The sequence below is a fragment of the Homo sapiens genome, chromosome 4 (genome assembly GCF_000001405.40).
Source record: "Homo sapiens chromosome 4, GRCh38.p14 Primary Assembly".
Classification (NCBI taxonomy): domain Eukaryota; kingdom Metazoa; phylum Chordata; class Mammalia; order Primates; family Hominidae; genus Homo; species Homo sapiens.
This window is the reverse complement of record NC_000004.12, coordinates 87,699,880-87,726,471: the sequence shown is the minus strand read 5'-3', so window position 1 is coordinate 87,726,471 and position 26,592 is coordinate 87,699,880. Positions and strand designations below refer to the sequence as shown.

The 26,592-nt window shown below is 39.7% G+C and overlaps 1 long non-coding RNA gene across 1 annotated transcript in view, besides 1 other annotated feature; it reads left to right on the top strand.

Annotated features, from left to right (window-relative positions):
- DMP1-AS1 (DMP1 and DSPP antisense RNA 1) overlaps positions 1–26,592 on the top strand; it is a 164,356-nt gene that overhangs the window by 5,943 nt on the left and 131,821 nt on the right. The window lies entirely within an intron of this gene.
- Positions 15,207–15,809: an enhancer, noted in NCBI's record as "NANOG-H3K27ac-H3K4me1 hESC enhancer chr4:88631815-88632417 (GRCh37/hg19 assembly coordinates)". NCBI's record gives its function as "activates a minimal SCP1, AML or CMV promoter by ChIP-STARR-seq in primed H9 embryonic stem cells {active_cell/tissue: H9 hESC(primed)}" and the evidence as "EXISTENCE:reporter gene assay evidence [ECO:0000049][PMID:30033119]".

Below are 26,592 nucleotides of genomic sequence, written 5' to 3'. Positions count from 1 at the left end.
TCCCTCCCATGATGCATGGGGACTATGGGAGCTAAAATTCAAGATGAGACTTGGGTGGGGGCACAGCCAAACAATATATTTCCATCTGGCCCCTCCCAAGTCTTACGTCCTCACATTTCAAAACCAATTATGACTTCCCAAGGGTCCCCCAAAGTCTTAATTTATCTCAGCATTAACTTGAAAGTCCACAGTCCAAAGTCTTATCTGAGAAAAGGCAAGTCCCTTCTGCCTAGGAACCTGTAAAATCAAAAGCAAATTAGTTACTTCCTAGATACAATGGAGGTACAGGCATTGGGTAAATACAGCCATTCCAAATGGGAGAAATTGGCCAAAATGAAGGGGCTACAGGCCCCATGCAAGTCTGAAATCCAGCAGGGCAGTCAAATCTTAAAGCTCCAAAATGATCTCCTTTGACTCTATGTCTCACATCCAGGTCATGCTGATGCAAGAGATGGGTTCCCATGGTCTTGGGCAGCTCCACCTCTGTGGCTTTGCAGGGTATAACCTCCCCCTGGCTGCTTTCACGGGCTGACATTGAGTGTCTGTGGGTTTTCCCGGCACACGGTGCAAGCTGTTCGTGGACCTACCATTCTGGTGTCTGGAGGATGGTGGCCCTCTTCTCATAGCTTCACTAGGCAATGCCTCAGTGGGAATTCTGTGTGGAGGCTTCAACCCCACATTTCCCTTTCACACTGCCCTAGCAGAGGTTCTCCATGAAGGCCCTGCCCCTGCATCACACTTCTGCCTGGACATCCAGGCATTTCCATACATCCTCTGAAATCTAGGCAGAGGTTCCCAAACCTCAATTCTTGACTTCTGTGCACCTGAAGGCCCAACACCTCATGTAAGCTGCCAAGACTTGGGGCTTGCACCCTCTGAAACCATGGCCTGAGCTGTACCTTGGCCGCTTTTAGCCACAGTTGGAGTGGCTGGGATGCAGGTCACCAAGGCTGCACAGAGGAGGGGGGCCCTGGGCCTAGCACATTAAACCATTTTTTCCTCCTAGGCCTCTGGGCCTGTGATGGGAGGGGCTGCTGTGAAGGTCCCTGACATGCCCTGAGACATTTTCCCCATCCCATTGTCTTGCCAATTAACATTTGGCTCCTCACTACTTATGCAAATTTCTGGAGCCAACTTGAATTTCTCCACAGAAAATGGGTTTTTCTTTTCTATTGAATCATCAGGCTGCAAATTTTTCAAACTTTTATGCTCTGCCTCTCTTTTAAACTTAAGTTCCAATTCCAAACCATACCTTTGTCAATACAAAAAAACTCAATGCTTTTAACAGTGCCCAAGTCACATCTTGAGCACTTTGCTACTTAGAAATTTTTTCTGCCAGATGCCTAAATCATCTCTCTCAAGTTCAAAGTTCCACAGATCTCTAGGGCAGGGGCAAAATGCCTCCAGTCTCTTTGCTAAAACATAGCAAGAGTCACGTTTACTCCAGGTCCGAACAAGTTTCTCATCTCCATCTGAGACCACTTCTGCCTGGACTTTATTGTCCATATCACTATCAGCATTTTGGTCAAAGCCATTCAACAAATCTCTAGGAAGTTCTTAACTTTCCCATGTCTTCCTGTCTTTTGAGCCCTCCAAGTTGCTAGGGAGTTCCAATCTTTCCCACATTTTCCTGTCTTCTTCTGAGCCCTCTAAAGTGTTGCAACCTCTGCCTGTTACCCAATTTCAACATCGATTCCACATTTTGGGGTGTCCTTATAGCAGCACTGCATTCTGTCAGTACCAATTTACTGTATTAGTCAGTTCTCACGCTGCTAATAAAGACATACCTGAGACTGGGTAATTTATAAAGGAAAGACGTTTAATTGGCTCACAGTCCCACATGGCTAGGGAGGCCTCACATTAGAAGGCTAATGAGGAGCAAAGTAACATCTTACATGGCAGCAGGCAAGAGCATGTGTGCAGGGGAACTTCCCTCTATAAAACTATCAGATCTTATGAGACTTATTCACTATCATAACAGCACAAGAAAAACCTGCCCCCATGATTCAATTACCTCCCACCAGATTTCTCCCATGACATGTGGGGATTATGGGAACTACAATTCAAGATGACATTTGGGTAGGGACGCAGCCAAACCACATCAATAAGTAACACCAGCAACAACAGAGTAGAAGTACCAAGCATTAGCCTAAGGGCTTTACATGCATTTATTCATATAATCCTCATAATTACTCCATAAGGTAGTCAATATTATTATCTTTCCCACTTTAAAAAGAGGAAACTGAGGCCCAAGGAGGTTAAGTAACTTGTCTAATATTGCACATCATATGAATAGTAGAACCAGGATTTGTCTTCTAGATTAATCTTGATGGGAAAAATAGAACCAGTAAATGCCATAGGTATGAGGTTTCCAGAACTAAGATACCTATGTTTATAGCTCAGTTTTAATAGTTTTGTGGTCTTGGATAAGATATTTTCTTTTTTCTGTTTGTGTTTTCATTGTTAAAAATACCATATGACAGTTTTTAGAGTCGAGTGAGTTCTTTGCTGAGATCATCTGATTGTCTCAGGTTCTAGCTGCAACTAAGAGTTCCCTTATCCAGACTTTCAGAGTTATTCCTGAGAATAAAGGATTTTTCTGTGGGAGGGCCATTCTACCTTAATAGTCCATGTACTGTCAGTTCCTGGAGGTTGCTTTTGGATTAAGAAATTTCAGTATCTTATGGGCAAGGCTTGACTTTTTTTTTTTGCAGTGCAACTCCCTTAACTGTAGTAAGCTGCTGGATTATCTTATTTTTTGGACAATACCCGTGACAGAAGGGTTTGCCATCCATACTCTGAATCTGTAGTTGAAGCAGGGCCCCACACTGTTGGCTTCTTTGAAACATAAATGAATACTCTGCCCTTTCTGCTAGCTTTGAACTTTATACAATTGGCCTCAGGATTCTGTAATAGGGTAGGGTGGTAGTGAAGCCAGTCAATATGTTCTGGAATGCCATGCCTATCCCCAGGCTATATTCTGGCCCATGTGCTGGTCAATGAGAAACACCGAGTCTTTTGACAGGCAGTGAATTAGCAGCAGACGATTTTTGAAAGAAAATCAGTGCTTCCTGATTCTTTTAGTTTCCACCAAATATCTTTGTTACAATTGCCAAAGATCCCTCGTTTTGTTTAACAAAGCACTTAGTTTTTTAGCTAGTTTTTTAAGCTGCAGCAAATTTGCTGGTTGCAGTACAGCAAGGCTCTGATCATCTCATGCTTTGTAACTTCTAACATCTTGCTTCAGCTAGGAAATGGCTTTTCTTCACAAGATTACACACTTATTCCTCATGCCTGTAACCCCAGCACTTTGGGAGGCCAAGGCAGGTGGATCACGAGGTCAGGAGATCGAGACCATCCTGGCTAACACGGTGAAACCCCATCTCTATTAAAAATACAAAAAAATTAGCTGGGCATGGTGGTGGGCACCTGTAGTCCCAGCTACTCGGGATGCTGAGGCAGGAGAATAGCGTGAACCCGGGAGGTGGAGCTTGCAGTGAGCTGAGATCGCGCCACTGCACTCCAGCCTGGGTGACAGAGCGAGACTCTATCTCAAAGAAAAACAAAAACAAAAAACAAAAACAAAAACAAAGAAAAAGATTACACACTTATTCTAATATCCCTTCTCTGCCTTCCAATGGGCCCACATAAAGGGAGCTAGTCTCTTTTTATTGTCATTGAATGCCACATTTCCTATAGCTTCTAAACACACAAGCATTCTGCTAAGTTGTCCCAAAGCCTCCTTGCTCCAGCTTCAGTGAGCATGAGGCCTGAATCCCAACGGACAAAGGAGATGGTTTAGCTGCCTGCTTTGGTACAGCACAACATCTGCAGCTTCCCATCCTAGCAGCAGAATTCCCAAGTCTCATTATAAATTTCTCAAGCCTCACATGCTAGAATCTATCTTTTGCAGTATCCCGGTTCTTCCATATTCGTTTCTAATTAGTAATTTTCAATCTCAAGTAACTAACCCAAATCTAGCTAGTGCAAGGAGAAAATGAGAAATGTATTGGAAAGATATTAGGATAGTTGATAAAATCCAATGACAGTAATAGGCTTCAGGAACAAGTTGAAACCAGAACTGATATTTTCTGGTTAGCTTCATTTGTCTTTCTCCCTTCATCCCAGCTTTCTGTTTCCCAATTTGCATTTAAAGAAAAAAAGAAATTTAACTAGTGATAACTTTGTTTTATGAGTGATAAGCCTGAGCACCTTCATTTACTCTTGCAGTTGCTGGTGAAAAAACAGTTAGACCCAGGTTGGGTCACATGACTCAGTAAACCAATCAGCTATGACCAAGGGCCACAGTATAGAAGTGGGACAGAAATTATGTGACTGGAGAGAGAGATTTAAGGCGTGATTCTTAGAAGACAGGTGCTGAGTAGTCAAAGTAATATGTGTCCAGTTGCTGTAGCCAATGTTATCAAAACAGGTAGAGGAATCTTATATAGATTCATCTCCATTCAACTGATTAATTCAATGGTGATATGGCTTCTTACAGTGTGTTTAGAATCATGGAAATAGGCAGACACAGTGATTCACAAATACGTATTTAATTAGTTTAAAAATAAACAAATTAATAGAAATCTCTATCAATTCAACATAAGTTAATTTTAAAGAACTTCAATTAGGTGTACTAAAGAAAAAAAATAAAAACAAAAACAAAATCCTCCGCTTAATTACCAAAGAGAAGTACCTTAAATCTTAAATATTTGCTCTGGCTAGGCATGGTGCCTCTACCTGTTATCCCAGCACTTTGGGAGGCTGAGGCAGGAGAATCATTTGAGGCCAAGAGTTCAAGACTACCCTGAGCAACATAGCAAGACCCTGTCTCTACAAAAAAAAATTTTTTAAATTAGCCTGGTGGCACATGCCTGTAGTTTCAGCTATTTGGGAAGCTGAGGAGAGAGGATAGCTTAAGCCCAGAAGTTCCAGGTTACAGTGAGCTATCATCTCTCGGCACTCCAGCCTGAGTGACAGAGCCAGATCCTGTCTCAAAAAATAATTGCTCAGAAATTTATTTTCCTCATGAACTGCAGATCTGAATATGTATTCCAACATCTGGGAAGTACAGGGAAGGTATTTCTCATTATATTCAATGATGAGACAATGTATTGTTGCCTTCTTACTCTATCTGGCTCAATCCCATTACATCTATGCAAAGGAGGATCATGCTAAGTATTGACACAATTATTATTTCTCTAACAAAAGTAGGGAATCCTGTAATCCCAGCACTTTTGGGGCAGATCACTTGAGCTGAGGAGTTCAAGACCAGCCTGGGCAACATGGCAAAATCCTGGCTCTAGAAAAAAATACAAAAATTATCTGGATATGGTGGCATACACCTGTGGTCCCAGCTACTTGGGAGGCTGAGGTGGGAGGATTGCTTGAGCCTGGGAGGTTGAGGCTACAGTGAACTGAGATTGTAGTGAGCCACTGCACTCCAGCCTGGGTGACAGAGTGAGACCCTGCCTCAAAAAAAAGAAAGAAAGAAAAAGTAAGAGAGGAAGGGAGGGAGGGAGGGAAGGAGAAAGGAAGGAAAGAAGGAAAGAAGGAAGGAAGAAAGGAAGGAAGGAAGGAAGGAAAGGAAATTAGGGAATTTCTAGATATTGTAAGCTGTATTAACCTCCTGCTTCTTACATACTAATATCCTTGTATAAAAGGATAGCTGTTATTTATTATCAAAAGATGTTGACAAAAATTCTCACACCTATAAATTCAAGCATGTACCATGGTGTCCCTCACGATCCCTACCTTTCCTTCTTTCAACTTAGTTTAAAAATAGCCATGAAATTTCTCACTTGTTTTAGAAAAACATTTGGGAAGGAGATTCATCCTCAGTATCAATAGTGACATCAGGTAGTTCTCTTGTAGCTATTCAAAATGAAAATACTACTCAACCAGGCTAGAGTTTAGCTGGAGCTCTGGTACCTATTGTTCAATTTGGCTCTATGGTCCTTAGTAGTAGTGCAATGCTGCTGTCCATGGGACTACCCACCATCAAGGAGAGACTCTTTAAAAGGAAAAAGGGGTGGATAAAGTTTACATAATTGTGCCTTGATTCTTTAATCATTTACTCTTAAAAACTGTTTAATTTGAAACAATTTCAAGCTTGCAGAAAAGTTACACAAATGGTGCAAGAAAGACTGTTTTACCCTGAACCATTCGAGAATAAGTTGCCAGTATGCCCCATGACCTCTGAATCCTTTAGTGTGTAATTCCTACTAACAAGAACACTGTCCTATATACCCACATACAGCATCAATATTATATAGGAAATTAACATTGATATGTCACTACAACTAACCTCAAGACTCCATTCAACTTTTCCAGTTGCTCCAATAATATCCTGTATAGAAAAAGTATCTAGTCCAGATCACATGCTACACTGAGTTGTCATTTCTCCATAGGCACCTTCAATCTGATACAGTTCCTCAGTCTTTCCTTGACTTTCATGACTCTGACTATATAGATATAGATATAGATATAGATATAGATATATAGTCTCTCTCTCTCTCTCTCTCTATATATATATATATATATATAGTCTCTCTCTATATATTTGGTCCTTACTTCAGGTTCCTGGCACAGAGCTTCTAAAACCCTTAGAATTTCTTGGGTTATATAGCGGTGAGAGGAATCTTTTTTGTTGTTCATAAAAGCCTCTTTCAACCATACCTGAGTTTATGCTAATGAGGCAATTCTTGGAGGATCAGGGCTGGTTGCCAGAGGAACCAACCTTGTGATTAGAGGGTTGAAAATTTCAGCCTCATCCTCCAGTCTCCTGTGAGGGGAGAAGGGCTGGAGATTGAGTTCAATGACCAATGGTCAATGATTTAATCAATCATGCCAACCTAATGGAACCTCTTTAAAAGAAAAATCCTAAACAATGGGATTAAGAGAGCTTCCAGGTTGAGCAGGAACACATGTATGTGCCAGGAGAGCAGCAGACCTCAAACTCCATGGGGACAGAAGCTCCTGTGCTTGGGACTTTCCTAGACCTTGTCCTATGCATCTGTTATCTGGCTGCTCATTTGTATCCTTTAAAATGTCTTTTGTAGTAAATCAGTAATTGTTAGTAAACAGTTACCTAGGTTCTGCGAGATGTTCTAGCAAATTATGAACCTAAGGATGGAGTTGTGGCAACCTCCAATTTGTAGCCAAGTCAGACAGAATTAGTGGGTAACCTAGGAAGCCACTGCTTTCTACTGGCATCTGAGGTAGGAGGACAATTCTGTGGGACTGAGCCTTTAGTCTCTGGGGTCTGTGCTAACTCTGGGTAGGGTCAGAATTGAGTTAAATTGTAGGACACTCGGTGTGTGGTGAAAATTAGAGAATTAGTTGATGTGGGGGGAAAATCATACTTTTGGCGTCAGAAATGTTGTGAGGATAAGAAAAACTTGTTTTCTTTTTTATTGACTTTGACATTTTTAAAGGTGACAGATCCGGTTCCATATGGTGGAATATCCCTGCAGTTCAGTTCATCTGATATTCCTTCAGAAGCAGAGTCAGATCATGCTTCTTTGGCAGCAACATCATAAAAGCAATTCTGTGTTCTCGTTGTGTCTGTCAGGTGGCACATGGTTTTGATGTGTCTCATGATTGGTTATGTTAGCTTTGATTACTTGATTAAGGTGGTTTGCAAGGCTTCTGTACTATACTGTTTTTTTCTTTTTAACTAATAAGTATTTCGTAATAAAGTAAGTTGAAACCATGTGAATATAACATCCCTCAACAAAATTTCAATATATTCATTTATTCATTTATATCAGCATATCCATTTGCTTTTTTATCTTCCTTGGGTAAATAAGTCATTAGCATTCTGCAACAGATACTGTCTGCATCTAACCAATAACTCTGATTTCTGTACTAGCCAAAGACAATGCAGCTCTCTCCCTGGGGGTTCTTTCAGGTTGTAGGAGAATGCTCTAGCCTTGCTCAGGGCAAGCAGGAAGTCCTGAGGAGTTAATGTCCCCAAGGGCAGTTCTCAACCAATGAAGGTTGAAAGCTCATAGATACCACCGCCCACCCCTGACCCAGCTTCCTTGGCTCCTTGAGTTGGACAACTCTGAGCCTGTTCCTCACTGCTTCCCGGAATTCCTCAGAAGGACTGAGCCCCAGTGACCTGCTTCAGTATCTGCTGGATGACATAATCTTTATTATTGGCTCCCTTCCGCTTTCCATCGAAATTTCCCACACTCCTACCTCTGCTTCCTGGGATGTCTTATGAATAAGGTATTTTTACTCAAATCCTTTTCTCAAGCTCTGTTTCTGGGGAGTTCAGCCTAAGACACATGCCAGCCCACACCATGGAAACATTAAAGATTTCTCGGTGTTTGCAACAAACTCATCATCTGACTATTTGGGTATTATTTGGTCATTCCTTCAAGTCTTTGCTTTTCTTTATCTAAATGAAGGGTTCCTCTCCATGACACCAATTTCCCACCAAAGTGTTAAGCCAAAACAGGTGGACAGAATCAATTATTTCAGAATGTCCCCCAACTCCTTATAGCAGTGGGAAACCAGCCCAAAATTGTGTTAGCAAAATATTGTTGAAACAAGGTGCACGCATGCCATCTGGGTCAATCAGCTCATTAAAGTCAGAAGATTATGCAATTCGTTTCTTACTCTTTCGTATTTCCACAGTATGTTACGGTCAGTCCCTGAGGCTGACCAAAGCATCTGTTTCCCATCCTCCACAGTGTAGTTCTACTGGGAATTACCATTTTTACTTCATAAAAGCAAATGCATACACTGCATGGCATTTTCTTTTCAAGAGAAGGTTGAAATAATAATAATGTACTTGGACTTGCTATTCTTAACCCCCCTCAAAACCACGCAGTACAAACAACCACTAGACCAACTCTGTCTGGGAAGAGCATATTTAGAAAGAAGGAAGACACTATAGACAGTACCACATACAAGAAAGAAAATATAACGTCTCAGCCTGATACACTGTGGGATGCTGCAGGATGTTGACTCACTTTGCAACTATAGTCCTTCCTGAGCTTAGAAAAAAAACTACATAGTCTTTTATGCACTAAGAACAGCTCAAACAAATCTCTCCTGACCCTGCATTCCTGCAGGACTAGATGTCGCCACTGTTAATATCTGTATTGGACACTCTGTGTAATTATTTTTCCAAAAGAGCAGACCAAACAATTTCTCAAGTATACAAAACTCTCTGTACACACAGTACTCTCCTGTACAAGCAACAAGGATAGTTTGACAAGTGAAAAGAAGCAAGAAATATTGATGAAAATTTGAAAATAAACACATAGTTTCACCCTAATAAAGAATATATTTGCAAATAACACAACCTGCTAAATCTTGCTGGCAAATAAAGTAGATCCAACCATTCCAGCAGCCTCTCCTGAGGGAACTTTGAGTTTTTATGAAGAAAGTTTCCATAGTTATAAATAAATGTTCCAAACATCCCTATAATTACTTGTTTCTCCTAAACTATTATCTGGGCAGAAATTCATTTTACCTTACGCATATTTTATAACTGACCAGTAATAAGGAATTTAGTCCAGGAAGGTACATTTTTACTCTGGGCAGGATAAACTGTAAACAGGCCACCTCTACCTACAATGGTGTGCATTTCCTCCAGAATTCTACCTCTCATCAGAGACATGAGAGTCCTCTTGGCTGACTTCTGGACTAGGTACACATAGGATCACAGATCAAATCAATGACTTCTCAGCAAAATCTGCAAGAAAAAAAATCTTTCCCACTCAAACAAAAGTGCCTTCTACAAAGAAACTGGTTTGTACAAACTAATAACCAAATCCTTTCAGTCTTTCAGCTCCTTATTCTTGGCCTTGGGAAGATGTGTTTGGTTCCAATGGGGGAATCCTCAGAGGAAACGGAAGCCTGTTTTACTTGTTTGTTTTCACGGCCTTTGAATAGCCTGGATGCTTCTACAGTCATGTGTGCCAGGAGTAGAGTGTGCGTCATTAGTTTCCCTGGACTTTCTGGTCTTGTCCAAACCGCCAGTTCTGTTGATTTGCCTTGGTGAAAACATCCTCTCCAACTGATAGCTTTTTCTTTTTATATATATATATATATATTTTTTTTTAATTATACTTTAAGTTTTAGGGTACATGTGCACATTGTGCAGGTTAGTTACATATGTATACATGTGCCATGCTGGTGCGCTGCACCCACTAACTCGTCATCTAGCATTAGGTATATCTCCCAATGCTATCCCTCCCCCCTCCCCCCACCCCACAACAGTCCCCAGAGTGTGATATTCCCCTTCCTGTGTCCATGTGATCTCATTGTTCAATTCCCATCTATGAGTGAGAATATGCGGTGTTTGGTTTTTTGTTCTTGCGATAGTTTACTGAGAATGATGATTTCCAATTTCATCCATGTCCCTACAAAGGACATGAACTCATCATTTTTTATGGCTGCATAGTATTCCATGGTGTATATGTGCCACATTTTCTTAATCCAGTCTATCATTATTGGACATTTGGGTTGGTTCTAAGTCTTTGCTATTGTGAATAATGCCGCAATAAACATACGTGTGCATGTGTCTTTATAGCAGCATGATATATAGTCCTTTGGGTATATACCCAGTAATGGGATGGTGGGTCAAATGGCATTTCCAGTTCTAGATCCCTGAGGAATTGCCACACTGACTTCCACAAGGGTTGAACTAGTTTACAGTCCCACCAACAGTGTAAAAGTGTTCCTATTTCTCCACATCCTCTCCAGCACCTGTTGTTTCCTGACTTTTTAATGATTGCCATTCTAACTGGTGTGAGATGGTATCTCATTGTGGTTTTGATTTGCATTTCTCTGATGGCCAGTGATGATGAGCATTTTTTCATGTGTTTTTTGGCTGCATAAATGTCTTCTTTTGAGAAATGTCTGTTCATGTCCTTCACCCACTTTTTGATGGGGTTGTTTGTTTTTTTCTTGTAAATTTGTGTGAGTTCATTGTAGATTCTGGATATTAGCCCTTTGTCAGATGAGTAGGTTGCGAAAATTTTCTCCCATTTTGTAGGTTGCCTGTTCACTCTGATGGTAGTTTCTTTTGCTGTGCAGAAGCTCTTTAGTTTAATTAGATCCCATTTGTCAATTTTGTCTTTTGTTGCCATTGCTTTTGGTGTTTTAGACATGAAGTCCTTGCCCATGCCTATGTCCTGAATGGTAATGCCTAGGTTTTCTTCTAGGGTTTTTATGGTTTTAGGTCTAACGTTTAAGTCTTTAATCCATCTTGAATTGATTTTTGTATAAGGTGTAAGGAAGGGATCCAGTTTCAGCTTTCTACATATGGCTAGCCAGTTTTCCCAGCACCATTTATTAAATAGGGAATCCTTTCCCCATTGCTTGTTTTTCTCAGGTTTGTCAAAGATCAGATAGTTGTAGATATGCTGCCTTATTTCTGAGGGCTCTGTTCTGTTCCATTGATCTATATCTCTGTTTTGGTACCAGTACCATGCTGTTTTGGTTACTGTAGCCTTGTAGTATAGTTTGAAGTCAGGTAGTGTGATGCCTCCAACTTTTTTCTTTTGGCTTAGGATTGACTTGGCGATGTGGGCTCTTTTTTGGTTCCATATGAACTTTAAAGTAGTTTTTTCCAATTCTGTGAAGAAAGGCATTGGTAGCTTGATGGGGATGGCATTGAATCTGTAAATTACCTTGGGCAGTATGGCCATTTTCACGATATTGATTCTTCCTACCCATGAGCATGGAATGTTCTTCCATTTGTTTGTATCCTCTTTTATTTCCTTGAGCAGTGGTTTGTAGTTCTCTTTGAAGAGGTCCTTCACATCCCTTGTAAGTTGGATTCCTAGGTATTTGATTCTCTTTGAAGCAATTGTGAATGGGAGTTCACTCATGATTTGGCTCTCTGTTTGTCTGTTGTTGGTGTATGAGAATGCTTGTGATTTTTGTACATTGATTTTGTATCCTGAGACTTTGCTGAATTTGCTTATCAGCTTAAGGAGATTTTGGACTGAGACGATGGGGTTTTCTAGATATACAATCATGTCATCTGCAAACAGGGACAATTTGACTTCCTCTTTTCCTAATTGAATAACTTTTATTTCCTTCTCCTGCCTAATTGTCCTGGCCAGAACTTCCAACACCATGTTGAATAGGAGTGGTGAGAGAGGGCATCCCTGTCTTGTGCCAGTTTTCAAAGGGAATGCTTCCAGTTTTTGCCCATTCAGTATGATATTGGCTGTGGGTTTGTCATAGATAGCTCTTATTATTTTGAAATACGTCCCATCAATACCTAATTTATTGAGAGTTTTTAGCATGAAGCGTTGTTGAATTTTGTCAAAGGCCTTTTCTGCATCTATTGAGATAATCATGTGGTTTTTGTCTTTGGCTCTGTTTATATGCTGGATTACATTTATTGATTTGCGTATATTGAACCAGCCTTGCATCCCAGGGATGAAGCCCACTTGATCATGGTGGATAAGCTTTTTGATGTGCTGCTGGATTTGGTTTGCCAGTATTTTATTGAGGATTTTTGCATCAATGTTCATCAAGGATATTGGTCAAAAATTCTCTTTTTTGGTTGTGTCTCTGCCAGGCTTTGGTATCAGAATGATGCTGGCCTCATAAAAAGAGTTAGGGAGGATTCCCTCTTTTCTATTGATTGGAATAGTTTCAGAAGGAATGGTACCAGTTCCTCCTTGTACCTCTGGTAGAATTCGGCTGTGAATCCATCTGGTCCTGGACTCTTTTTGGTTGGTAAGCTATTGATTATTGCTACAATTTCAGATCCTGTTATTGGTCCATTCAGAGATTCAACTTCTTCCTGGTTTAGTCTTGGGAGAGTGTATGTGTCAAGGAATTTATCCATTTCTTCTAGATTTTCTAGTTTATTTGCATAGAGGTGTTTGTAGTATTCTCTGATGGTAGTTTGTATTTCTGTGGGATCGGTGGTGATATCCCCTTTCTCATTTTTTATTGTGTCTATTTGATTCTTCTCTCTTTTTTTCTTTGTTAGTCTTGCTAGCAGTCTATCAATTTTGTTGATCCTTTCAAAAAACGAGCTCCTGGATTCATTAATTTTTTGAAGGGTTTTTTGTGTCTCTATTTCCTTCAGTTCTGCTCTGATTTTAGTTATTTCTTGCCTTCTGCTAGCTTTTGAATGTGTTTGCTCTTGCTTTTCTAGTTCTTTTAATTGTGATGTTAGGGTGTCAATTTCAGGTCTTTCCTGCTTTCTCTTGTGGGCATTTAGCGCTATAAATTTCCCTCTACACACTGCTTTGAATGTGTCCCAGAGATTCTGGTATGTTGTGTCTTTGTTCTCGTTGGTTTCAAAGAACATCTTTATTTCTGCCTTCATTTCGTTATGTACCCAGTAGTCATTCAGGAGCAGGTTGTTCAGTTTCCATGTAGTTGAGCGGTTTTGAGTGAGATTCTTAATCCTGAGTTCTAGTTTGATTACACTGTGGTCTGAGAGATAGTTTGTTATAATTTCTGTTCTTTTACATTTGTTGAGGAGAGCTTTACTTCCAAGTATGTGGTCAATTTTGGAATAGGTGTGGTGTGGTGCTGAAAAAAATGTATATTCTGTTGATTTGGGGTGGAGAGTTCTGTAGATGTCTATTAGGTCCACTTGGTGCAGAGCTGAGTTCAATTCCTGGGTATCCTTGTTGACTTTCTGTCTCATTGATCTGTCTAATGTTGACATTGGGGTGTTAAAGTCTCCCATTATTAATGTGTGGGAGTCTAAGTCTCTTTGTAGGTCACTCAGGACTTGCTTTATGAATCTTGGTGCTCCTGTATTGGGTGCATATATATTTAGGATAGTTAACTCTTCTTGTTGAATTGATCCCTTTACCATTATGTAATGGCCTTCTTTGTCTCTTTTGATCTTTGTTGGTTTAAAGTCTGTTTTATCAGAGACTATGATTGCAACCCCTGCCTTTTTTTGTTTTTCATTTGCTGGTAGATCTTCCTCCATCCTTTTATTTTGAGCCTGTGTGTGTCTCTGCATGTGAGATGGGTTTCCTGAATACAGCACACTGATGGGTCTTGACTCTTTATCCAATTTGCCAGTCTGTGTCTTTTAATTGGAGCATTTAGTCCATTTACATTTAAAGTTAATATTGTGATGTGTGAATTTGATCCTGTCATTATGATGTTAGCTGGTTATTTTGCTTGTTAGTTGATGCAGTTTCTTCCTAGTCTTGATGGTCTTCACATTTTGGCATGATTTTGCAGCGGCTGGTACCTGTTGTTCCTTTCCATGTTTAGCGCTTCCTTCAGGAGCTCTTTTAGGGCAGGCCTGGTGGTGACAAAAATCTCTCAGCGTTTGCTTGTCTGTAAAGGATTTTATTTCTCCTTCACTTATGAAGCTTAGTTTGGCTGGATATGAAATTCTGGGTTGAAAATTCTTTTCTTTAAGAATGTTGATTATTGGTCCCCACTCTCTTCTGGCTGATAGTGTTTCTGTCAAGAGATCTGCTGTTAGTCTGATGGGCTTCCCTTTGTGGATAACCCGACCTTTCTCTCTGGCTGCCCTTAACATTTTTTCCTTCATTTCAACTTTGGTCAATCTGACAATTATGTGTCTTGGAGTTGCTCTTCTCGAGGAGTATCTTTGTGGCGTTCTCTGTATTTCCTGAATTTGAACATTGGCCTGCCTTGCTAAATTGGGGAAGTTCTCCTGGATAATATCCTGCAGAGTGTTTTCCAACTTGGTTCCACTCTCCCCATCACTTTCAGGTACACCAATCAGACGTAGATTTGGTCTTTTCACATAGTCCCATATTTCTTGGAGGCTTTGCTCATTTCTTTTTATTCTTTTTTCTCTAAACTTCCCTTCTCACTTCATTTCATTCATTTCATCTTCCATCACTGATACCCTTTCTTCCAGTTGATCACATCAGCTCCTGAGGCTTCTGCATTCTTCACATAGTTCTCGAGCCTTGGTTTTCAGCTCCATCAGCTCCTTTAAGCACTTCTCTGTATTGGTTATTCTAGTTATAGATTCTTCTGAATTTTTTTCAAAGTTTTCAACTTCTTTGCCTTTGGTTTGAATGTCCTCCCGTAGCACAGAGTAATTTGATCGTCTGAAGCCTTCTTCTCTCAGCTCGTCAAAGTCATTCTCCATCCAGCTTTGTTCCGTTGCTGCTGAGGAACTGCGTTCCTTTGGAGGAGGAGAGGTGCTCTGCTTTTTAGAGTTTCCAGTTTTTCTGTTCTGTTTTTTCCCCATCTTTGTGGTTTTATCTACTTTTGGTCTTTGATGATGGTGATGTACAGATGGGTTTTTGGTGTGGATGTCCTTTCTGTTTGTTAGTTTTCCTTCTAACAGACAGGACCCTCAGCTGCAGGTCTGTTGGAATACCCTGCTGTGTGAGGTGTCAGTGTGCCCCTGCTGGGGGGTGCCTCCCAGTTAGGCTGCTCGGGGGTCAGGGGTCAGGGACCCACTTGAGGAGGCAGTCTGCCCATTCTCAGATCTCCAGCTGCGTGCTGGGAGAACCACTGCTCTCTTCAAAGCTGTCAGACAGGGACATTTAAGTCTGCAGGGGTTACTGCTGTCTTTTTGTTTGTGTGTGCCCTGCCCCCAGAGGTGGAGCCTACAGAGGCAGGCAGGCCTCCTTGAGCTGTGGTGGGCTCCACCCAGTTGGAGCTTCCTGGCTGCTTTGTTTACCTAAGCAAGCCTGGGCAATGGCGGGCGCCCCTCCCCCAGCCTCGCTGCCACCTTGCAGTTTGATCTCAAACTGCTGTGCTAGCAATCAGCGAGACTCCGTGGGCGTAGGACCCTCCGAGCCAGGTGCGGGATATAATCTTGTGGTGCCCCATTTTTTAAGCCAGTCGGAAAAGCGCAGTATTCGGGTGGGAGTGACCCGATTTTCCAGGTGCGTCCGTCACCCCTTTCTTTGACTCGGAAAGGGAACTCCCTGACCCCTTGCGCTTCCCAAGTGGGGCAATGCCTCGCCCTGCTTCGGCTCGCGCACGGTGCGCGCACCCACTGACCTGCACCCACTATCTGGCACTCCCTAGTGAGATGAACCCGGTACCTCAGATGGAAATGCAGAAATCACCATCTTCTGCGTCGCTCACGCTGGGAGCTGTAGACCGGAGCTGTTCCTATTCGGCCATCTTGGCTCCTGTCCCTGATAGCTTTTTCATAACGTTAAAAGTGAGTATGTAAAATGATTTGAATCACACTTTTAAAACCAAAGATAAAGGCTAAGACAAGATTTTCCAGATACTTGGTAAGATTTGGGGAAAAAAATTTCTGCAAACAAATTTTAAAAATCCATACTGGAGAAAAAATGAGGTAATATAATGAATACTAAAGTCATGTTTTAAGGAATGTTTTATCTGGAGTTTACCATCTTATAACAAATATTTTTGAAGCTGAAGTTAACACCTGTAATGGTATCTGTAGGTCAGTGGACTGATTCAGAGGCAAAGGGCTGTTTTGCTTAAATATCATGCCACCTAATTAGACTCTACACTTTTTAATTTAAAAAATTCTAGTTTCTTTTTAGTTAGAATTAAAATGAACATGAAAATTGATAAGCAAATATATAAAAGAGCTATAATATGTAACTGCTTCTTATCAGTCACTGGTTATTTATTAAATATTTATTTGTGTCCACAGTTGTGCCAAGTTCTAAGGAAATGTGAATGAAATATGAAAACATGATTTTAAACTTTAATAGACTTTCTGTTAATTAGGGGGAGGGATGCAAAACAACAATTTTGTTTTGTTCTGTTTTGAGACAAAGTCTCACTTGTTGCCCAGGCTGGAGTGCAGCAGCGCCATGATGGCTCACTGCAGCCTCGTCGGGTGATCCTCGCACCTCAGCCTCTCGAGTAGCTGGGACCACAGGCATGAACACCATGCTCAGCTCATTTTTGTATCTTTTGTAGAGACAGGGTTTTGCTGTGTTGCCCAGGCTGGTATCGAACTACTCGGCTCAAGCAAACCACCTACTTCAGCCTCCCAAAATGTTGGGATTACAGGTGTGAGCCACTGCACCCGGCAAAAACAACAGTTCTGACTATATCATTTCAAAAATTTCCAGTGACCCCCTCTTTTAACCAGTGATACCATTACATGGTATTTAAGGACTTCCTCCATGTACACTATCCCACAGTTCTCCTCCAGACACTCTAAAGCACAGTTAGACGACAGTGGCTCATTAGTCCTTGATAGTGCCCTCACCAGACTCCACGCCTGTGTCAGGCAGTGCCTGCCAGAGTGCTCTCTCTCTCGGTATCAGAATCTTCTACCTCAGTTAAATGAATCATTATTTCTTCCTCATTCCCTTCGTGGTAGAAGTAAGCCTTCCCTTGTCTGAATTCTTTTAGCTGTCTTTATTTCTCATGGTACTTTTTAAACTCAAAACACTACTATAACTATTTGTCTATATTTCTTATTTGCTCAACTAATATTACCTTAAGGGTTTTGTAATAGCATACTTGTCTATATATCTCCATATATGTTGCTTAACTCAGTTTCTGATTTATAATATGTATTTAAACATGTAGTAGTTGAATGAATGCACATTTGAAATAATTAGGCAATAACTAAGAATAATAATTGTGTGGCACTAAATGCAGATAACAAGAGAGTAAAAGGAATTTGAAGGAGAGGGTTAAATCACTTGAAAGTGGGCTATAATAGTCTAAGCAGACTAAATGGAGGATTTAAGCTTGGTTTGGATCTTTAGGGCTGATGGTGCAAATTGGAACCAGAGTGGCTAAGAACAAATAGAAGTAGGAGTGTGGCTGCCAGATTAGAAGAGGAGAAGAAAGAAAACAAAAGGTAAGGATACAAGAGGAAAGTTTCGGGAATTACCTAATGATATGGCTAGGCAGGAAACACGCAGGCCATAAGACCAGACTTGATTAGCTGGAAGCCCAGAAAGTAAGCTCTGCTTTCAGGATTCAGGCTGTTTGTAGAGAAGTAACATGTTCAAGAGAAAAAGAATGGAGTTTTGTGTTTAAAAAGGGCTGGATCTGATATCAGTTTCACTATCGTTTTTGTTAGGCATGGGATTCACTAATCCTGCGTTTTCTCATCAATAAAATGGGAGTTATAACTCCCACACAATTTGGTTGTTATGGGGGTTAATTAAGATACTATGTGGGAAGTTCTTGACACAGAGCTCTCAGTAAAAGATGACCATCATTAATGTTTGCTATGGGCTCCAATTTGAACACTTGTTAGGTATGTTGTCTCCAGTCCATTAGCAGCCAGATGGTCTCTGGGACTTGTCCTGTTCCTGATTATTGCAGAAAAAGCCTTTCTCAAATTAAGATGGAGATCCTGATAGAAATGATCATGATGATGATGATGACGATGAAAATTATAACAGAACTTATAGTAGCTAATATTAATTGAGTGCTTATTATGTGATAGGAACCATGTTAATTGTCTCATAAGAATTACAGCATTTAATCCTAACAAAAATGTGTATTGTAAATGAAACAACTGGGACTGATTTTTGAGCATTGTAGCAGGGGTCCTTTGGAACAAAATGTGTCTAGATCCCAGGAATCCCAGTCACTAGAAATACAGTGGAAGCCAGAACAGGGAGGCCAGGCGCAGGGAAAAGGCCCCTAGATGAAGAGACTTACCCCACCATGGAATCCAAGACAGTAGTCAAAAGGGGTAGGAGTCTCAGATCTGACCAAGGAGGGGCTTTCTACCAGGGACTCTGATCCAGCAAGCAGGCCAGGGTATGGGGGAGCCCAGGCAGCAGGCACTGCTTTAGGCAGGTGGTGGAACTGTGATTCCAAGCAGGGGCCTTCTCAGCAGCAGGAGATTACAGGAAGCAAGATACTGCCTCCCTGGGGAAAGAGTTTAGCAAGAGCTACGCATGATAAGGACACCATCTCATGAACTAGGGCAAAAATGTCAAAAATCTGTGTCTCTTGTACAATTTGAGCAAGGAAATGGCCCCCGGAAGCCTGTGTTTGAGACCCAATCTAGGCCTAACAAGGAAGAATATTGTGATTGATTAGCGAAGTCTGCCTCTAGTGCTAGGGAAAGAAGCGACAATATACTGCTTGTGAATCTTGGCTGTCCTAGAACAACCTGGAAGACTTGAAGAAAAAAGGAGAGAGATTGATATAAAAGGGGATTATTGTGAAGGGACTATGCAAAGCTTTTAGAGGCTGCAGGGAAGGAGAAAAGGTAATTTTGAGCCTGTCAATTCTGCTGAAAACTGAACAGAAGGATCATGCCTGTGACAATTCTGTATACCCCCTTTCCCCAAGCTGTGGCCTTCTTAAGTACTGAGAATAGTGTCCTGGTGCCCCAGCTGCCCATGTGCTCCCAAAGTAAAGGCTTGGGATCCAATGCGCCATGTTTCCAATCTGCTATTTTTAAAGACTCATGAGTTTCTCAGAAAAATCCAATATGTATCTCAGAAGAAATCACATTGAGAAACAAAATATAGAAGTGGGCAAAAAAGATATACACATATTAAATTTATTATTTTTATAATAATATTAACTGGTGCTATTGTTTTGAAATAAAAAAAGAACAATTGTATTTTGCATAAAACCCTCTTTTGAGAAATATATTTAAGTTTCAATGTTTTCTATTTATTTGCTTACATAAGAAAGGACACAAATGCCAGCAAAAAGGAAATATCTCAAAAACCTTTCAACATATATTATAGCAAATTATTCTTTTTTTAAGTGAGGAAGAGGGAGATGGTTATTTGAACATTTTTCCTTCTTGAAACTACATTCCTGTGGTATTACTCAAATTAAATCTCTCAGTCATATTGAAAGTGGAAAGAGAAAAAGACTATATTAAAACCAAACAAAATGAATCTGGATCTTTTCATTATATTTTTCTATGTTTGTAACTGCCCAACCTGTTCTGTTTGTGAAAATATACAAATATAACTCTCCACAAAAAGAAACACTGGTCAGTCTTACCAGCCCTGTTTTTAAAAGTAGACTTTTTTTTGAGGGACCAAGAGTAAGGTGACTATATGTAGAAATGCCTATTTGAAAACCCTTCTTTTATTCATATAGTAACCTCTCAATTTATGTCTTACATGCTTTTTTTGAAAAAAGACAAAGTTGTGTCAGAAAATATCGTTAGAATGATTGTATAGATTTCCAAATTGTGTCTTTTGCTTTAACAACTCATTTTTGAATTGTGGGATTACTTAACGTAACAGAACTCTCATCATGCACAGAGCAACAAGCATGATATATTATCTACAAAGTGAGTTTACAAATAGAAGGTAACAAAGATGTAAAAAAGTAATATCTCTTGTCTTCATCGTTTGTGCATGTAAATACATGTATATATACAGTTCACTTTTTAATTTACTCATTCATTTAAAAAGCATTTTTAGTGGGCTGCCTAAAGATATGTGTACTGGAACCTGTGAATGTGGCCTTCTTTGGAAAAAGGGTCTTTGCAGCAGACATAGTTAAGAGTCTTGAGATAACATCATCCTGGATTACATCTGGGCCCTAAATCCAACAACAAGTGTCTTTATAAAAGGCAGAAGAGAAGACAGAGAGACAGAGAGAGACAGAGAGAGAGAGAGAGAGAGGGAGAGAGGGAAGAGAAGCCTGTGTGAAGATGCAGGCAGTGACTGGAGGTGTGCAGTCACAAACCAAGGAACAGCAGGTGCTGTGAGAAGCTGGCAGAGGCAAGCAAGTATTCTCCCCTAGACAGAGAGTGGGAGACCCTTGAGAGCCTTGACTTCCTACTTCTAGCCTCCCGAACTAGGAGAGAATCAATTTGTGTTGTTACCAGTTTGTGGTAATTTGTTACAGCAGCCCTAGGAAACTAATACAGTGTCTTTCAGCACCTTCATGTGCCACGTATACTGTCAGGCAAGAACACATCTGTGATAAGATATCATGTTGCCCTTGAAAGGATCACAATCCAGTGCATGAAACAGGCATTTAACAATGAGTATTCTAGGTGTTGTTTAGACTAAGAGGCAGTGGGGGTCTGGAACAGGAGTCTCATTTACTGGGAGCCTTCAACTGTGCATGAGCGCACTGTAAAGGGCTCAGGTACCTAAATACTCCAAGATGCCTGGAAGTACTAGGGGAAACTTCCCAGCAGAAACAGTGTTCTAGCCAGACTTGAAGTATGAACAGAAATTTTCATGATGAAATATTGGAAAGCAGGCCATGTAGGAGATATCAAGCAGAAGAAATTGGAAGTATAAAAGGCAAAAAATGTCACAAAGCAAAATAGAAAAGTTTCAGTTTGGCACAAGATGAAGCTAAAAATGCATTCATTGAATCCAAATTGTAAAAGGCATACTTTCCCTGCTGACAAGTTATGCTGTTAAGTGAAGGCGGATCTGGCTGTTCACTAGGATGTCAAGGTGATGAAGAGATGGGGTGGGGAGAAAATGGAGAACTATAACCTATGAAAGGGTATGATTTGAGGCCAGGGGCAGTGGTTCATGCCTGTAATCCCAACACTTTGGGAGGATGAGGTGGTTGGATCATTTGAGGTCAGGAGTTCAAGACCAGCCTGGCCAACATGGTGAAACCCCATCTCTACTAAAAATACAAAAATTAGCAGGTTGTGGTGGTGTGTGCCTGTAGTCCCAGCTACTTGGGAGGCTGAAGTAGGAGAATCGCTTGAATCCAGGAGGTGGAGGTTGCAGTGAGCCAAGATTGCACAACTGCACCCCAGCCTGGGTGGCAGAGCAAGACTACATTTCAAATAAAAAATAAAAAATAAAAAGTAAAGAAAGAAAGAAAAGAAAAGGAAGAAAAAGAAAAAAAGAGAAAGAACATCATCTGAGCTGATTTTAGGAAATCACTCTACTCTGGTGGTATTTTTCTTTTAGTTAATAATGTATGTTTTTACCCATTATTTTCCCTCTTCCCTTCCCCTATTCATATAGGTAAGAGGTTCACATGTTCCTTGCCTTGAGGAGAGTTTGAGACATGACTTCCTGGCTTTTGTTTTTAAAACCCTAAATTCACTGAAAGAATAGTTTGAGGAGGTGGTTCTTGGACAACAAGACATACAAAGAGAAAAAGAGAGAGAGAGAAGGAGAGAGAGATTTCCCAGGCTAAAAAGAAAGTTTTCTTCTGGATTGAGAACTAGATTGAGGCTGATGGTTTGAGAGCAGTACAGATAAATGGACATATGCTGCATGTGACATGCAGGATCCTAGGCTTGTGGCTGTAGCTCATTGAAGATATTGTATGCCAAGAGAGGCGAGGAGCAGCAGAGCATCAAATTGAAGGATCTCTGCAGCTCTACAGGCTGGGGCTACAATCTTAGCAGAAATCAGTGTAGCCTCATGACCGATGACTTGAGGGACTTCCCAAAACTTGATACTCCCCTAGACACTCAGCACAATCACAGCCGGGGAAGTGGCTGCTAAGAATGAGTGAAGTTGAACTTTCCACCAGTTCAACTAGATAGAAACTTGACATCTAATTTAAATAAAAGAACAGAATATGGTATTTTACTGAGTCTCTAAGATACATATCCACTAATGAAAGTAGTGTCATGGCAGTGATACTACTTGTATTTAATATCTCTTCTTTCTTTTTTAATAAGAGAACTCCTGAGTGTTAGCTGGGACCATGGTTGTACAGAATGAAAAGTCCATTTCCCAGCCCCCATTGTAGACTAAGCTCTGGGGTTTGAGTAATGTGCTGCTTATGGCTCATGTTTTTCAAGGAAAAGGGTGTACTCTTTCCTTCTGCTTTTCTCCCTTCCAACAAATTAGAGTAAGAGCAAAGTAGTGAGCCCTCTCAGATAAGCATGATTCGAGGAGTAGTAGATCCACAAGAGAGAAGGACTTCAGACCCCTGGCAACTTTACAGAAGGAACTTCCCATTCAAGTAGGAATTTACATGGAACAGAAATAAGCTTCTGTCTTGTGGACCAACATTTTTCATGTCCTTGTCAAATAAGCTGAACTAACATTCCACTAATACCAGTCTATGAAAGGAACTGGAATTGGAAGAGATTGCTGGTGGGGAACATTTTTGAAAATCCAACTTCTGGCCCTGGACATGATGGAAGGAATAGATATTAGACTTATTCTCCCACTTTTACATATGTGAGACTGTATAAGATATATTAATCAAGTTTTTCCAGGCTTTGGTCAACAGACAGCCAAGGGCTATAATCCTTGAGAGAGACATAAAGCATAGGTGGATGCCTTACTTACTATAGTTTACTATCTGAGAGTAATTTCCAAACTGTGACCCCAAAAAGTGGAGTTTAAGCAGACAGCAACAGTCTTGCTGGCCATATAAAAGGGAGATTGAAATTTAGGACTACTGAAGGAGCTGAAATTTGCATCTCAGGTTACCAGAAATAAAGGAGCTTAGCAGACAAGAGTCCCCAGGAATCTGCATCAATATCCTCTGTTAAGTCTTTGACTGAATGCCTGTGCATGCATATGGTACAATTCAAAGAGGCCTAGGAAAAAGCAGATACTTTGGGCTGCTTTTTGTGGCTTAAATGGAAATACTAGAGAATACATAGTGCTGAGAGACAGGGGAATGCCAACAACCCAAAATTGAGGCCCCAGAAAGATCATGATTTAGGAGTAGGGACTACTCTAGCCCTGGCATAAGTGTACTCTAGGCCTACTCTAACAAAGCTGAAAACCAAGCCCCTCAGCAGAATCAAGCTGAGCTGCCAGTAACTTAATCCTCTGCCAGAATAAGATCCAATATTCTTCATAGGAAGACAAATAAATTCAGAAGCTCAACAATATAGCATCCCATGTCAGGCTTAAAAATTAAAAATTACTAGCCGTATGGAGAATTTTTAAAAAATATGAGGAAGAAATGGCAATAGAAACAAACCTAGAGATGACATTCATTGTGGAATTAGTAAACAAAGACTTCAGATGAACAGATGTGGAATCTCAGCAAATAAATAGAAACCAAAGAGACAGAAACAAATGAAAATCACAGAATTAAAAATATGTATTATCTGAAAGTTAAAAATTTGCTAACTGTAACAGCAGTTTGAATACTGTAAAAGAAAAGATCTTGAAGACAGGTAAATAGAAACTATCCAAATTAAAGAACAGAATGCAAAAAGAAAAAAGACTGACTAAATATACATATACATAGCTTCAGTGACCTGTGGATTATTATAAAGTCCTCTAACATATGTGGAATAGAAGTCCTAGAAAGAAAAAGAGATTTCGACAAGAAAAAAACATGTTAAAAGAAATAACAGTTCAAAAATTCCCCAAATTTAATGAAAAACACAAATCCACAGAGTATATTGTTCAGCACCAAATAACTAATGCCCCTGAAGACATTAATTTATTTTCTCAGCAAGAAGTGAACATTTAGAAACTTGGTTTTGAAAATCCCAACTTCTGAATCAAGCCATAATTGAGGAATGAACCACAAAACTGCATAAACACAAAGAAAACCACATCTAGGCATATCATAGTACAATTGCTTTAAATTAAATTAAAAATAAACATTCCAAAACATCTAGAAGAAAAAACATATTACATATAAGAAAGTAACAATAGAATAACCATTAATTTCTCATCAGAAACAATACAACCCAGAAAACAATGGAATGGCAGTTTTAAAATGCTAAAAAATAAACTATTAAATTAGAAGTCTAAATCCAGCAAAAGTTTTCTTCAAAAGTAAGGCAAATAAAGATATTTTCAGATAACAAAAGTGATGACCTGCACCAGAAGAAATGTTAAATAAGCTCATTCCAGTTAAGGGGAAATTGTACCTGGCAGAAACTCAAATCTACATGAATGAATGAAAGAGCACTACACAATTTTCTATTTCCTTCATTTCTTTAAAAAAACTGACTGCTTGAAGCATAAGTAATAACAATGTGTTGTGGGATTCATAATGTATAGAAGTAAAATATATGACAAATGGTACAAAGAAGAGGGGAGGGTAAGTGGAATTATATTTATATATGGTTTTTACATTATATATAAAGTGGTATACTATCAATTTAAGTTACACTATGATAGGTTAATAATGTATATTGTATTCCCTATGGAAACAACTAAATAAATGAAACAATGAAATAATAAGTGAAAAAAGGAGATGAAGTGTAATACTAAGAAGTGCTTAATTAAAATGAAGGAAGGAAAAGATGGAAAAAGAAAAGGGATAAATGGGCCAATTAGAAAACAAATAGTAAAGTGGTAGACTTAAACCTAACCATATCAGGAATTACGTTAAGTGCACAGGTACTAAACAATCAATCAAAAGGCATAGAGGCAAGACCTAATTAATTAGATGCTGTTTCAAGGAATTCTCCTCAAACATAAAGACATACGTAAGTTAAAAGTAAAAGAGTGGAAAAAAAAAAAGATGTACCATGTAAACATTAATCATAAAGAGCTGGAAAAGGCTATATTAATATCAGACATAGTATCCCACTTCAGAACAAGGCATATTACCAGCACTAAAGAGACATTTTATTTTGATAAAACAGTTAATACATTAAGAAGACATAACCATGCTAAAAGTGTATGTACTTTATGATAGAACTTTAAAATAAATGAAGCAACAACTGGCAAAGGTAATAGAAAAATAGACAAACCTACAATTGCGGTTGGATAGTGTAGCACTCCTCCCTCAGTAACGGAAGCATAAAAGACAAACAATAGTAAGCATGTTGATTTGGACCACACTATCAACCAACTTAGTCTAACTGACATTAACAGAACACTACATCCAACACCTGAGCCATGCACTGGGTCATAAAATAAGGTTTAATAAATTTTAAAGAATTGGAGTATTCCAGAGTATGTTTTATTTATTTATTTATTTATTTTTGAAATGGAATCTTGCTCTGTTGCCTTAGCTGGAGTGCAGTGGCATGATCTTGGCTCACTGCAACCCCCACCTCCCGAGTTCAAGCAAGTCTCAGGCCCCAGCCTCCTGAGTAGCCATGATTACAGGTGCCAACCACCACACCTGGCTAATTTTTGTATTTTTAGTAGAGATGGGATTTCACCATGTTGGCCAGGCTGCTCTCGAACTCCTGACCTCAGGTGATCCGCCCGCCTCGGCCTCCCAAAGTGCTGAGATTACAGGCGTGAGCCACCGCACCTGGCTCTGAAGTGGGATACTATGTCTGTATAGTATTTCCCATAAATGTTTAGGCATAAATTTAACAAAAGATATGATACCTTCTTGGCTAAAAACTATGAAACATTGCTGGGAGAAAGGAAAGATCTTTCAAAACAGAGATATTAAAAATCATGTTATCTGACTAACATGGAATTAAATTAAAAGTAAATGAAAAGCATATCAGAAAGAAGTTCTTACATGTTTAGGACTTAAGCAACCACTTCTAAATACTATAATTTTAAGTAAGAGAATCCAGAAAAGATTAGAAAATAATTTGAGAGATAGCTAAAAACAGTGCTTAACGTAAAACATACAGCTTTAAATGCTTATGTTAAAACATAAGAAAATATTTAAAATACATGTTTTATGTTTTCACTTAGAGAAGATAAAAAACAGGCATAAACTAAACTGAAATTAAGTTGAAAGAATATTTGTTCATTTATGAGCAGCAATCAATTTTTTTTTTAAAAAGGGACCCACAATACAGAAAAATCCATGAAAACAAAAGTTGGCTTTTTGGAAACATTAATGAATTTGATAAGC